We start from the raw sequence: 16169 nt of genomic DNA, 5'->3' as shown, positions 1-16169 counted from the left end.
CCCTAAGTCAATCATTTTCTCTTTATTTAATTTCCCAACTGACAGGTATCAACAGCTGTGCCCACTGGGAGGCTTTCAGATGCAGCATCCACCAAGGAATACACCGACTAACACACATGACAGCCTGAACTAGCAACCTGCATCAACACCCCTGCAGAAAAGCAGTGCATTTCAACTGCTCATTTAATAAGTATTTGAATTCATAATTACAAAACATCTTCTGTAATTAAACCACCATATGCATTTAAAATATTTTGGGGACAAAGAGTAGCAAAGAATTATATTGGATATTGACTAAAAACACTTATGAATATCAATAATTTGCTCCTCCTCCCTTTTCATCATAGACTCTTTACAATGATACTGACCTTGGGGTTGATCACAAAGTAGGTTTTCACCAGGTGCTGTTTTAAATATGGGTCCCTAATGTCACCATCTCCCTCCTCCACTTTATAAGCGCCATTCAAGTGCTCCAGGGTGACAGAAGAAATGTGAACACGTCTGAAATTGCATTTTAAAATCACAGTCAAGACATAAAAGGATAAGTGTGAAGAAAGGTTTCTATTTGCTCATGATTTCTGAAATAATTTATCCACTAAAGTTCTTAGGAGCACTGACCGCAATTAAAGTTTATATTCTATTGACCACTGCTTTGGAAAGATGCTCTTAGAGGTCGTGCACTACTAGTTTTGGAGCTTCTCTGCACTCACCGAAACCTGCATGGTGGGTGTGGTGAATTATAGCAAATACAACTTGATTATCTTGAATTTTTATGAGAATATCTTTGAAATGTATGTCATGGGCATTTTAGGAAGTATGCTAATCTGTATAATAATGTAGACTTTCTTTCTCAGTGCTTGCTCTCGTGCTTCTCTAAACTACAGCCCTTGATAAAGATTCTCTTGACTGAAATACGTTATTCTCCCCAGAGAAGGATGCTGTAGTCACTTATTTTAATATAATGGTTTTAGAGGTCAACAGTTCTAGACAGATGCCATATCTGGACTGTTTTGTAAAACATCTTTAAATCAGATCTCTATTCATACATTTGCAAATAAGTAAAAGTTTGTAATTTACTGTCTGATATTCACAGTCTTTGAACTATGGACAACGGGGTCGTGACGCAGGGACTTGAGAGCTCGTCTTTATCTGCTTAACATAAGAGGCCGTTGGGCGTGAGTAACATGATACCAACAGAGGCAACAGAAGTGATCAAAAACTGAGCACTCCGTCATTAGGCTGATAATCTGTCATTCCTAATAGTTCTGCCTGCTTGAAGAAAGAAATCCAATGCTTGGCCTTACCCAGGGACCCCTCCAGCTTCCATGTGGTTGGCCAAGGTCACATCATGTGACCACACATCATATTGCCACTTCTGCAGACCAATCACGCCACACAGGACATTCCCAGAATGCACGCCCACGCGCATGTTGATATCAACTCCAGTAGCATCCCTCACTTTCCTAAAGAGAAGGGAAGTAAGATCATGATCAAGTAACATCCACTGTTTCCTTTAACTCTTGGCCAATTTTCCCAGTATTTTATTATTCAGAATTTTTCAAACTGTCGGAAATGACCATAAACCTTCCTATGGCAGGAGATCACTCCTCTGAGCTAAGAAGGGATTTTCCTTCCAGTCACTCCAGATTAGACCAATGTTCTTGCTATTAAAGCTAGATCAGGCCAGACTATAGTGATGACAAAACGTTTTGGCTATAACTTTTACTTCTGCAATGAATATGTATCAAGCAGCTACCATGTGCTGGCACATGTCTGCATTTTCATACTAGAATCACGTGACATTGCCTTGTAATGTCAGAAACAGTCTTAAACAGGGTTTGCAATTTTAGTTCTTAGCACAATGTACCTCTCCAACGAATATCTTCTGCTAACAAGAGAACAATATAGCTCATTTGTGAGCTTAATAATGATTTTAGCCTACATAAGAATTTTTAGCAAAATAATCATGACATTAAGCCTTTCCAGTTGTGCACATTCTTCAACAAAAAGAGAAAAAATACTTCTTAGGACCTTATCACCAACTCATTAACAGAGAAAAATGATGAACTTCAATGAAGAAAAAATGGAAATGCTTGGCAATGCTTATTTGTTCTTGCTGGCTGAATACATTAAAGTAGTATTGCAAAACAAGTATACAGGAAGATGTTCCTAGTTACATCGAAAGAATTACCCCAAGAGGCAATGTGGAGGGAAGCAACGATGCCGACTGCAGCACAATCAAATAAAGACACCACCACTTGTGAATTGTAGTGAAATGAATCATTAACATCTCAAAATGGCATAGGCATGTATGTCATGCTTAAATGATATAATGATACCATTTTAGCATGCTAAAAATGATCAAACAAAACGGACCCACGATATAAAAATAAATCGCACTCTGAAAAAAGAATATAGAAAGATATTTTCCTTCCCCATTTCCTTTCCTCTTTTGCCCTCACTGTCTTCCTTTCTTGCTTTTGCAAAAAACCCAGCTACCCATTTGGCTCTATGCAAGTCATCCAAAACTTTCCTTCCTGCCCCACAAAACGAGCCAGAGCATCAGCAGGACAAGGAGACCCACCCCCACCCCTCTGCCCTGCATCTGCAGGCTGTGGCTGTGCAAGCACCCAGCACCGGGGTGTCCCCACCTCCGGACTCTGCTTATACTGACTCCTCTTCCTGCTCCCCATGCCCCCAAGCCTCCCTTTGGTGTCATGTGGCCAGCTGGCATTGTTCTTCCGGACTCAGGCACAGCCCCACTCAGAAAGGCTTTCTGTTCTCTCCCCTCTAGGCTGGTCTAGGCAGCCTTGCTGCCTCTGTCCTGTAACTGCCCTGAGGGCAACTAGCACTCCCTGTCTGTCTCCATCTCGGCCCTCAGCAGAAATTCAGCCTGGGTGGACACAATCTCCAAGTGGATTGTTTACCTCTCAAAGGGTTCAAGGCCCAGTGCAACAGCACAACTTCACACAAGTTTACTAATGGATCAAGGTCATTTTTGAAAAATGTACTGTGCTTCTGTCTTTGAGCAATGATGATTCTGAAAAATTCATTAGAGAACCCATAATTGTTCTTAACATTTTATGTTGTTGAGAGGACATTTCCAACCACGTGGCGTTTCTGTTTACCAAAATAGGCCAGCAGAGAGCCAAGGAAGGATAAAAAGGGAGGAAAAAGGAGTCTCAGACTGTCCACTTGACAGAGCTGAACTCCTTAACGAGCTGACTGGTTAAAACATTAAAACCGTCTCCATGTTGTCTTTTTTAAAAAATGAGTTGACCATGGGTTCAAATGAATCAATTAGCCACAATTTTTTTTTTTTTTTTTTGGAGATGGAGTCTCACTCTGTCACCCAGGTTGGAGTGCAGTGGCGTGATCTCGGCTCACTGCAAGCTCCGCCGCCCGGGTTCACGCCATTCTCCTGCCTCAGCCTCCCCAGTAGCTGGGATTACAGGCGCACGCCAAACCGCCCAGCTAATTTTTTGTTTTTTGGTAGAGACGGGGTTTCAGCGTGTCAGCTAGGATGGTCTCGATGTCCTGACCTCGTGATCCACCCGCCTCGGCCTCCCAAAGTGCTGGGATTACAGGTGTGACCCACCGCGCCCGGCCAACTAGCCACATGTTTTGTTGCATGTATATTCAATTTACATGATCTATAGAAAAACGTTGAAGTCATTGCTTAAAGCTTGCAAGAGTAGTAGGTAAACAGTACAGTTTAAGAGAAGGCTTAATCCCTTATAAAATCAAGGTCCTGAATATTACTTGATTAAAAATAATTTACATGTTCATGGCAGAAAAAAGAAATGTTTCTAAGCATTGGAAATGTTCCAAAACTGCAGCTGAAGTGCCTCTGCCGTGGTGCCTGGGCTAGCAGGGAATGAGGTGCTGCTAAGTGTGGAGGTGTGAACACAGAGAGAAGAGCAGGCAGCTGTCTGGGACTCATGCTGCTGGTTCCTGACACTGAGACCATCTGGCAAAAACCCAAGTGCCAGGTGTGCACGTTCCCCTCACCAGCTTAAAAAATGAAAATTCCTGTCTGGTACCCATCCCACGCACGGCTCAATGAATGGGAATGGAAATGCACATCCTTGCATGGGAGAGAGGATGAAAGTGGACAAACAATTCCTGGAACGTGCTGAGATGTCCTCTCTGTTGCTGCCCTTTCATGGGGGTAGGGGTGTAACAAAATAAACTTTTTTTTTTTTTGGACAGAATCTTGCTCTGTTGCCCAGGCTGAAGTGCAGTGGTGTGATCTTGTCTCACTGCAACTTCCATCTCCTGGGTTCAAGTGATTCTCCTGCCTCAGCCTCCAGTAGCTAAAGTTACAGGCGTGCACCACCAGGCCTGGCTAATTTTTGTATTTTTGTAGAAACAGGGAAAATGAACATACTGTCCAAGGTAATTTTTAGATTCAGTGCCATCCCCATCAAGCGACCAATGACTTTCTTCACAGAATTGGAAAAAACTACTTTAAAGTTCATATGGAACCAAAAAAGAGCCTGCACTGTCAAGTCAATCCTAAGCCAAAAGAACAAAGGTGGAGGCATCATGCTACCTGACTTCAAACTATACTACAAGGCTACAGTAACCAAAACAGCATGGTACTGGTACGAAAACAGAGATATAGACCAACGGAACAGAACAGAGCCCTCAGAAATAATACCACACATCTACAACCATCTGATCTTTGACAAACCTGACAAAAACAAGAAATGGGGAAAGGATTCCCTATTTAATAAATGGTGCTGGGAAAACTGGCTAGCTATATGTAGAAAGCCGAAACTGGATCCCTTCCTTACACCTTATACAAAAATTAATGCAAGATGGATTAAAGACTTAAATGTTAGACCTGAAACCATAAAAACCCTAGAAGAAAACCTAGGCAATACCATTCAGGACATAGGCATGGGCAAGAACTTCATGTCTAAAACACCAAAAGCAATGGCAACAAAAGCCAAAATTGACAAATGGGATCTAATTAAAGAGCTTCTGCACAGCAAAAGAAACTGCCATCAGAGTGAACAGGCAACCTACAGAATGGGAGAAAATTTTTGCAATCTACTCATCTGACAAAGGGCTAATATCCAGAATCTACAAAGAACTCAAACAAATTTACAAGAAAAAAATCAAACAACCCCATCAAAAAGTGGGCAAAGGATATGAACAGACACTTCTCGAAAGAAGACATTTATGCAGCCAACAGACACATGAAAAAATGCTCATCATCACTGGCCATCAGAGAAATGTAAATCAAAACCACAATGAGATACCAACTCACACCAGTCAGAATGGCGATCATTAAAAAGTCAGAAAACAACAGGTGCTGGAGAGGACGTGGAGAAATAGGAACACTTTTACACTGTTGGTGGGACTGTAAACTAGTTCAACCATTGTGGAAGACAGTGTGGTGATTCCTCAAGGATCTAGAACTAGAAATACCATTTCACCCAGCCATCCCATTACTGGGTATGTACCCAAAGGATTATAAATCATGCTGCTATAAAGACGCATGCACACGTATGTTTACTGTGGCACTATTCACAATAGCAAAGACTTGGAACCAACCCAAATGTCCATCAGTGATAGATTGGATTAAGAAAATGTGGCACATATACACCATGGAATACTATGCAGCCATAAAAAGGATGAGTTCATGTCCTTTGTAGGGACATGGATGAAGCTGGAAACCATCATTCTCAGCAAACTATCGCAAGGACAAAAAACCTAACACCACATGTTCTCACTCATAGGTGGGAACTGAACAATGAGAACACATGGACACAGGAAGGGGAACATCACATACCGGGGCCTGTCGTGGGGTGGGAGGAGCGGGGAGGGATACCATTAGGAGATATACCTAATGTAAATGACGAGTTAATAGGTGCAGCACACCAACATGGCACATGTATACATATATAACAAATCTGTACTTTGTGCACATGTACCCTAGAACTGAAAGTTTAAAAAAAAAAAAAAAAAAAGAAACAGGGTTTCACTATGCTGGCCAGGCTGGTCTCAAGCTCCTGACCTCAGGTGATCAGTCCACCTCGGCCTCCCAAAGCTCTGGGATTACAGGCATGAGCCACCATGCCCAGCCCAAAATAACCATTTTATTGATCACCTTGTCTACTATACATGAAACAAACAGAGGAGGAATGTGGAATCCCTTGTTCCGCAAGTGGCAGGTAACAGGGACGCAAAGCCATTGCCTGACTTGAGGATTAAGTTGAGGGATCAGCAAGAATTGGGAGAGGTCCCTCAAACCTGTTGACATTACTGAGATTCTGCACACATAAGATATTACTGATGCATCAATGATCAAAAAATAAATAAAATGTGGTATATACCTACGGGGGAATATTACACTAAAAGCATCAAAAGGTGCTAACACATGCCACCACAAAAATGAACCTTGACAACACTAGGCTGAGTGACAGAAGCCAAACACAAAAGGAAAGATATTATATGATTCCATTTACGTGAAATATCCAGAATAGTAAAAATCACAGAGACAGAAAGTAGAATAGAGATGGCCAGGAGCTGGGGAAGGGGTAATTGGGAGTTACTGCTTAATGGGTACAGAATTTCTGTCTGGGGTGATGAAAAGGTTCTGGAAGTTGACAGTGGCGATGGTTACACAACATTTTGAATTTACTCAACATCACTGCACATAACTGTACATTTTTATGTATCACTGTACATTTTTATATACACATAAAAATGATTCAAAGGGTAACATTTAGGGTATACATATTTTATCACAGTAAAAAATGTAATAGTATTTCTAATGAACTGGTGACATGCCAGTGCATGTAATGTAAGGATTCTTTCTCCGAAAACATCTTCAAGACATTGGATTAACTTAAACATTATGGAACTGGAAACAGTTCATTCAAAAGCAGAAACAAGGCTTTAGTAAATGGGTGGATTCTTTAATCCAATGTGTTATTGATGCACATAATTTTGCCCTTCCTAAGACTCTTTTCCACAACTAATTGAAAAGGAAATAAAACAAATACCTCCCTCCAATAGTACTCATTTCACCTTATGTTTGAAACCAACATTGAGGTTTTCACCAGCAGCAGGTTACAAATTTGAAAAAAAAAATATATTTTTTTCAATCCAATAGTTCCACTGATTGGATTCACTTATACCTAGATCCATAGAATTAAAAGTAGTTACTTACTTTTGAAAAAAAGCTAAAAACTATTTTTCATGTATCAGAGAGTACATATGATTTACTTATGGGAAGAAGCAATTATGGCTATTTCTCACACTATGCATTTTGTGTAGGAAACTGAGTTCACACTAACCACTCTTTCCATCTCAACTCTCTCATTGACTTCATTTCCCTCCCATTTCTGATCTGTCTGACAAAAGCATGCAGGAGTTTTCTATGGAGCTAGTGAATATGGAACATGCGGGTCTCTCCATTTCATTGGCTGAGGCTGTGTGTGTGTGTGTGTGTGTGTGTGTGTGTGTGTGTGGTGGGTGCGAGGGGGTGGGGGGTGGGGGCATTAATCTTCCCAGGACCATGCTGGGGAAGTCACCTGTTAATATTTTAGTCGCTTCAGCATATGACCAACACAGTGACAACAGGACTTGATGTATTCTCACATAAAGCCCTTTCTACTTTAATCCTGAGACAAGGAATGAGAACATTAAGCTCACAATTCCAACGCTGTTCAGATTAAAAAAAAAAAAAAGTTGAGGATAAGGTCAAATCATTTACCAAAATGGACAATCAAAAACCCAATGAAGTACAATATTCCAATCATGCAGTCAGCAAACAAAAGGCTTTATTATTTATAAGAATATTCTGGCTTCTACAAAGGGCATTATTAAAGAAGGTACTGCTAATAAAATTGTGATGCTGGTAATAAAAATTACCCTTTTACCTTATATTTTTACTTTGTAGCTAGTCAATGGTAATGATATCACTATCCTATATAAGCAAATCTTCTCTGGAATCACAGTGAAAAAAATTACAGATACAATGCAGAAAATATATGTTACAAATACAAATTAAAATTAAATTCACAGAGCTGAGCATTTTTGACTCGATGAAAATATTTTTGTATTGGTTTTTATATTAACTGCAGTCTGGTTGTAATAACTACCTCTTCCCTTACAATGTGTGTGAAGCCACAGAATTTGTCAGAAATTGGAAAGATGATAACGTGCACACTTTTACCTTAAGATCAAAGAAGATGTTCAAAATTTCTTTTAAAAATCACCTTTGAAACAAACAAAACCGTGCCTTCCTATAGATTTCCAACTCAGTTTCACTGTAGTCTAAGGCTCATAGTAACAATACTAGGCTGGGTCAGGCAGTGCATACCTACCATGTCAACAGTTTGGGAGGCCAAGGCAAGCAGATCGCTTGAGCCTAGGAGCTCAAGACCAGCCTAGGCAACACAGAGACACCCCGTCTCTACAAAAAATACAAAAATTAGCTGGATGTGGTGGTGCTTGCCTGTGGTCCCAGCTACTTGGGAAGCTGAGGTGGGCAGATTACTCTGGGCTCAGGAGGTAGAGGCCATAGTGAGCTGTGATCTTGTCACTGCACTCCAGCCTGGGTGACAGACCATGACCTTATCTCAAAAGCAAACAAACAAACAAAAATAATACTAAACACTTAATGAAGTCTTACTTTCCATTGCATTACTCACATCCCAATAAATGGGTTTCTGCACAATTATATTGAAATGCACAATAATGTATTTAATGCCAGTAGGCAGAACAATAGAAATAGTCACAGGTGAGATTTACAACCCCAAATTGTTAGACAGTTAAAAAAAATGCTTACTGGCCGGGCGCGGTGGCTCACGCCTGTAATCCCAGCACTTTGGGAGGCCGAGGCGGGCGGATCACGAGATCAGGAGATCGAGACCATCCCGGCTAAAACGGTGAAACCCCGTCTCTACTAAAAATACAAAAAATTAGCCGGGCGTAGTGGCGGGCGCCTGTAGTCCCAGCTACTTGGGAGGCTGAGGCAGGAGAATGGCGTGAACCCGGGAGGCGGAGCTTGCAGTGAGCCGAGATCCCGCCACTGCACTCCAGCCTGGGCGACAGAGCGAGACTCCGTCTCAAAAAAAAAAAAAAAAAAAAAAAAAAAAAAAAAATGCTTACTGTTGTTTCCTGACTCAGGAAACAACAGATGCTGGAGAGGATGTGGAGAAATAGGAGCGCTTTTACGCTGTTGGTGGGAGTGTAAATTAGTTCAACCGTTGTGACAGACAGTGTGGTGATTCCTCAAGGATCTAGAACTAGAAATACCATTTGACCCAGCAGTCCCATTACTGGGTATATACCCAAAGGATTATAAATCATTCTACTATAAAGACACATGCACACGTATGTTTATTGCAGGACTGTTCACAATAGCAAAGTCTTGGAACCAACCCAAAAGTCCACCAACGATAGACTGGATTAAGAAAATGTGGCACATATACACCATGGAATACTATGCAGCCATAAAAAACGATGAGTTCATGCCCTTGGCAGGGACACGGATGAAACTGGAAACCATCATTCTCAGCAAACTAACAGAGGAACAGAAAACCAAATACCGCATGTTCTCACTCATAAGTGGGAGTTGAACAATGAGAACACATGGACACAGGGAGGGGAACATCACATACCAGGGCCTGTTGGGGAGGGGGTGAGGGGAGGGATAGCATTAGTAGAAATACCTAATGTAAATGATGAGTTGATGGGTGCAGGAAACCAACACAGTACATGTATACCTATGTAACAAACCTGCACGTTGTGCACATGTACCCCAGAACTTAAAGCATATAACAAAATGCTTACTAAGCAGTCCACTTACTTTATGGCTTCACACATGTCCAGCCCCATTTTCACACAGTTCTTGGCATGGTTAGGGAGAGATATAGGGAGTCCAGATACACAGTAGTAGCAGTCTCCTAAAATTTTAATTCTCATGCATTCATTCTCCTGGAAGAATAAATTACAGAATTTCAGTTGCATTAAGCACTTGCAGAATGATCTAGATTCATGTAATATCATCAAGCGCCAGCTCTGCTCACACCATTCCAGGGGCATCTGGAGAGAGCAATGAGAACCAGTTGGGCTTCCCTTCATTACTCAACCAGAATGAGCTGCCCTCCCCTACATGCCGATTTCCAAAGAGGAATAAAGAAAGAAAAGGGGAAAAAATGAGAAAGAAGGGAGAATGTTCTGGAATGATTTACACTTCATAGAAGCAGAGAAGGATGGTGATGGGGCCAATCTCTTTAGTCTGAGCAGCTCCAAACATTAAGGGTGAAATAAAACATTCTATGCCCAGCTGAGTCTTTCAGAGTAGAAAATGATGACCAGCACTCAGTATAAATTAGAATCTCAAGTCCTTCCCTACTGTGCTTATGGTTTCTTTTATTTATTTTAAATCCAAAGCTGATTCTTACCTGCAGATATGTCACTTCTGATAGACATTACCACACCTAATAAGCTGCCATTCAATACTGCCAAGTAATTTAAAACTTAATTCTCATCTTAGGCTCAACTGTTTTAATGTAAAATTTGACTACCTCATTATTTTTCTGGGCTAAATTTTGTATTTATATTTTAATATTTAGATTAACTGCATTCATACTTGTTGATCCTATATTTGTTTCTATAAATCAAGCTTCCCTCCCATACTTCCCAAACAGCTATTCTGAGACTAGAAAACATGACAGTTACAGTGAATGGCAATGGTTTTGAGTTCCTTAGTGTAAGGTTATGTGCTTTACATAGTACTCAGTGCACTGGGGTATCTGTTTGCTGACAATAACCCCCCGTTATTGAACTGTGAGCCATGAACTCATATCGAAGGCACACTGCCCCTCTGACCAATGATGGATAAACCAATGGCTGGATAGTCAGCCGAGGGTGTATACTCCTTTGTTCCACTGATTAGAGGAAGTCACGTTGAGTACTTCTGTTATGGGTAATGAATTGTGTCCTTCCAAATTCACATATTAAAGTCAGTCCTGATACCTGTGAATGTGAACCTATTTGGCAATAGCGCTCCTGCAGATTTAATTAGTTAAGAGGAGGTAGAACTGGAATTGGGTGGGCCCTTAACCTCTAAGAAGGGGAAATTTGTTCACCGAGACAGGCACGTAGAGGAGAGAATGTCATCTGAACATTGGAGTTATGCTGTTCCCAGCCAAGACTGAAACGTTTCTTCCTAACATGAACAGGTAGTCCAACAAAAATGACCTTTTATTAATTCAAACTTTTAAGGCATCATTTAAGTTTCAAACCTTTCTTTTCTTATAAATGAACACCCACAAAACTCACCCCCTTCCTTTGGCTTGGTAAAGGAAGGAAGCAGAGCTGTGCTTTTACTGATTTTTTACAATCTCCAGTGAGAGTTGTCATGGTCGGTGGAACTACAGAAGGCAAAAACCTTGGGGAGTTTGGCCCAAGAATGATCATGCTAACATCTGCAAGCCAGATTTATTCCTAAGAGACTCAGCTGGAATGTTCTGTCTTGTTTAAAAGTGATCTAAATCACACAGTGAACTAAATTTAGGACCTATTCTTCCATAGCTAAATAACTGATATTAGTAGGCATAATGAAGCATTTTTGTTGTTGCTGGGAACAATTCAAAGAGAGAATTGACCAGAAACATTTAATGAGAAGTACAGGGCTTGCAGGAAGAAACTTTTTGTCATCGATATTGCCACCCACCAGCAACTGTGGCAGTTCTAATAAATAATAGGGTCTAGTGTGGTTTCAGACGGTTTCAGGTCATTTCCTATCTGTGAAATTTCCCATGAAAGAGCATATGAATGGAAGACACTAAACTTCCATTTCTGTTTAAGTGGCACAAGAATCAAAGGATTAAAATGAGACAAGAGTAAGTGAAGGCTTTGCATGGAAGATATGCATTCTATTTCAGGAACTCTTCCAGGGTCCTGCTTAACAATAGGAATAGAGGATGTTGGCAACTAGAGGAGTGGAAATGATCCTACCAGATCCTTGACATGGAAATGCCTAAAAGAGCACCTTAAAATAATACCATGCAGAGAGATTTGCAAATGGAATCTCACTGCCTGGAATGTATTTATTATATGTGTGCTGAATTATACATAGGGGGAAGTTTTAAAATAGATAAAAACGTGATAATGATATGCCATGGCGTTTTTTCATCCCTGAGACAGGTTTGAGGCTTATGAAAGATCAATAGCAAAGAAATCCAACAACTTCTACAAACAATGTTCCTAAAGGATGCTTTTATGAAAAAGTAAACTATTGATAGGTGGATGAAGAAAAACGAAACCAAGAGTTTAGAAATCTTCAGAGAAGAAAAGAATCCATAATACTCACCTTTGCAATTTGATCAAACTTTCCAAAGAGCTCATTCAGCATGTGGACTAGTTCTCCCGGGGAGCAGTCACTTGCCAGCCGGGTAAAGCCAACGATGTCAGCGTATAAGATGCTGTGGGAAGAAAGGAGGTGAGGAGACAGAGTTTTCCAGTTTATACATTTTTTAAGAAAGTAATAATAATTTTTCCATTAAAATCATGTAATTTTGCTTATACTTTATATTTTCATGAGTAAGAGGTCATTTTCTCAGATTAAGAATATATAAACATTTTTTTGAACTTGTTAAACATTTTTTGAGGTTAAACTTTTGTAGTTAAGATGGGGAGTGAAGCAGCAAAATAATTTAAAAAAATTCTGTTTGTACTGAGTCAAAGAAGAAACTGGAAAAATAATCCTCTTTTTATAAAAGATTACTTAAATGATTCTGGAGTCCTTCCTATCTGCCAGGATGAAGCAGACATGGAATATCTTCCTGACGTTCAGAATTTAGCTGGGAGGATGTATTGAACAAATGTGAACATCAACAAATGTCCAGTTACAAATCATAAAAAGGGCTACAGAGGAAAACGAGACAGTGTTATGACAGAGAAGAGTAGGGGCAGATTGGACAGTGAGGAGGCCAGGAAGGTCACTCTTCGGAAATGACAGAGCAGCTCCCTTCATGGGATGTACACACTAGGGAAGGCGAGTGTGAGATTCCTCAGAGCTTTTTATGTGTTTAAAATAGGAAAACACAGCACCTGTGTGCGCACTGCAACTTTTCCTACACAATAACATGTTTCTGATTTGTATCAAGGTCTTATGAAGAAGCCTAAATTTCTGCAGATGGTTTGAGATTCACAAAGTGAATATGTATGCCTTAAGATGTCCCATGGAACAAAACAACTACTATTTCACAGTCATTAGGATGGCTCTTATAAAGCATACAAATAATGGTTGTGGATGAGAACCTGGAGGGGTACACATGTGTTGCTGGTGGGAAGGTAAAATGATGCAGCCACTCTGAAAAACAATATGTTCGGTCCTCAAAAAAATTAAACAAAATACCATATGATTCAGCAGTGCAACTTCTGGGTATATATCCAAAGATCTGAAATCAGGAACTTGAATAGATATTTGTACATGAATGTTCATAGCTGTAGTATTCACAACAGCCAAAAGATGGAAGCAAACCGAATGTCCATTGACAGATGGATGAATAAACAAAATGTGGTCTATCCATACAATGGAATATCAGGCAGCCTTTAAAAGAAATGAAATTCTGACATGTGCTGAAACTCCCGAAAACCTTATGCTAAGTAAAATAAGCCAGGTACAAAGAGCAAATACTGTATGATTCTACATATATGAGGCACACAGTATAGTCAAACCATAGGGACAGAAACTAGAATGGCGGTTTCCTGGGACTTGGGGGAGGGGGAGTTGTGGAGTTGTTGTTTAATGGGTTCGGAGCTTTAGTTTGGGATGAAGAAAAAGTTCTGGAGATGGATAATATTGATGGTTGTAGAACAATGTAAGTGTCCGTGATCCAACTGAACTGTGCACTTAAAATTGATTGCAATTGTAAATGTTATGTTATGCATATTTTACAACAGTAAAAAAAAGTACAAAAAGGGGCACCAGTCAGCAGGGTCTCAGCCAGAGCAGGGCAGGACTCTGCTGTTGGCCATACTCTGCTCCTTCTGCTAAGCCCAGGATGTGTGGCTGCACCTTTGAGGAAATACTTGCTCCTCTGCTGAGGGACACGATCTGTGGGAATCCTCTGATGGTTACAGGAAAATCAGGGTTCCTGGGACAGCTTTACCCTCCACTCTGTTCAGATGATCCCCTAGAAATCATCCCTACTTCTTTTCTTCCACGCTGACTTATAGTGGCAGGGATCACAGGTGCTGAGCCATTGTGCAAGAGGAAGGATGAACGATGCTCGCTCAGAGAAAGAGTCCCTGATTCAAAGCAGTATTGGGAGGTAGCATGTGTGGATGGGCAGTTGACTCCACTTCCTTCTTGCTCACGTCATCCACAGTGCTTCTTGTGCTCAAAGCTTACAGTGAACAAAGCAGCTCTGAGATAGGCTGCCTGTAGATAGCTTAAGCTGGTCCAGAGGTTATGTTACAGCAAAGGGATTTAAAAAGTAAGCAGATGGCCGGGCGTGGTGGCTCACGCCTGTAATCCCAGCACTTTGGGAGGCCAAGGCGGGTGGATCACCTGAGGCCAGGAGTTCGAAACCAGCCTGGCCAACATGGCGAACCCCCATCTCTACTAAAAATTACAAAAAAACTTAACTGGGCACAGTGGCAGGTGCCTGTAATCCCAGCTACTTGTAAGGCTGAGGCAGGAGAATTGCTTGAACCCGGCAGGCGGAGGTTGCAGTGAGCCGAGATTGCACCATTGCACTCCAGCCTGGGTGACAGAGTGAGACTCCGTCTCAAAAAAAAAAAAAAAAAAAAAAACAAAAAACAGCAGGCAATTGTGATGCAAGGTACAAAGCTGCAAAGCATTACGGTAGAGAAAGTACAGTGCACTTATGGGACCATAGAGGGAGAAAACCCCACCTAGAGCCTGACCATATTGCCACTTTAGAAAGATCACTCCTGCTGTGGCAACCTGGACGCAGGCAGGTCAGTTAGAACTATATCCTTGGAACCCTGGAGAGCCCAACTGAAGGTTTACAATGTGCTGAAATAGAAGTGGACAGACATGGGAGATAGGAAGAAGAATGAACTAGATTTGTCACTAATTTGATGTTGTGGGGGGCATTGTGTGGGAGAGGGAAGCATTGAAAATGAAGATCCTGTTTCTGGCTGAGCAACAGAGTTCAGAAATCAAGGTTTGTGCAAATCAAAACAAGTGTGTAGAGGAAGAGGAGTAGTCCAACTTTGGTTGTGCTGTGCTTGATGGTGGTGTCTTAGATGCATGTTAAGTAGATGAGTATGGAAAGCTATGGTTGAGGCCTGTGTATGAGCATCATTTAGGTGGGAATTAAAGTCCCAGAAGACGACTGGAGAGAAACCGAGAGGAGGTAAGAGAGAGCCCCCAACATACTCTCATTTACGGGAGAGACTTGATTTATGGAAAAGAAAAGAACAAAACAGATTGTCAGAAGAAAACTGAGGGAATGCAATGTCATGAGACAAAGGGATGGGAAAATTCTTTAAGTGGGAGGACAAGGCCAAGGGGTCAGGTACACGTGAGTGGTCAAAAAGTGACTTAAAAATATTTCCCAAGATGGGAGGGGCATTGCTGAATTTCAGACATTTAAGGCTAGAAAGAGCCATTAATAGCATAATACACTTAGATAAGTAAATGTTTCTTCTATAATTGTATAGGCAAAACTCTCACAAACCTGAAGGCAAGCCAGTATTTTAAATAATTTTACTCCTTAACATGTGTGAACTTTCTTTAAATGTATTTAGTTTTTACTATCATGTATCCATCCAGTCGTGCTTCCTTAGTTGCCATTCATACACAAATGTGTTTCTGTTACCTCCTTCCTGATATGAGTTTCCTATATCACACTGACATCTGTGTATGCTTGGGTATTATATAGCTAATCTAAAATCTGGTGTCAAATGAGATTTGTCCCAGCAATGTCTTTAAGTAACGGTTAAATTTGTTTCTCTTTAATAAGCTTCAAAAAACCTAGACCTGAAGCAGCCTGGCTCTTCTAAAAACTCTAATGACTAAACGAAGACCATCAAAACATAACAGATGAGGTCAGATTCATGCACAGGTTACTTATGGCGATAACTCAGTGATATGGTTTGGATTTGTGTCCCCACCCAAATCTCATGTCGAATTGTAATCCCCAGTGTTGGAGGAGGGGCCT

The 16169-nt window shown here is 40.9% G+C and overlaps 1 protein-coding gene across 5 annotated transcripts in view; it reads right to left on the bottom strand.

The window, feature by feature from the left end:
- Positions 1-16169, bottom strand: part of ADCY2 (adenylate cyclase 2) — a 433944-nt gene that overhangs the window by 121875 nt on the left and 295900 nt on the right. For all 5 annotated transcript variants that reach the window (NM_020546.3, XM_011513942.3, XM_047416645.1 and 2 more), the window contains exons 6-9: positions 12344-12455; positions 9833-9960; positions 1305-1463; positions 369-501 (exon numbers count right to left, since the gene is read on the bottom strand). In NM_020546.3, coding sequence (NP_065433.2) covers positions 369-501; positions 1305-1463; positions 9833-9960; positions 12344-12455 — 532 coding nt within the window. The remainder of the gene's footprint in view (positions 1-368; positions 502-1304; positions 1464-9832; positions 9961-12343; positions 12456-16169) is intronic.

Source organism: Homo sapiens, chromosome 5, assembly GCF_000001405.40.
Source record: "Homo sapiens chromosome 5, GRCh38.p14 Primary Assembly".
NCBI classification, from domain to species: Eukaryota; Metazoa; Chordata; class Mammalia; order Primates; family Hominidae; genus Homo; species Homo sapiens.
The sequence above is the reverse complement of the archived record's forward strand: the minus strand, read 5'-3'. Positions and strand labels throughout refer to the sequence as shown.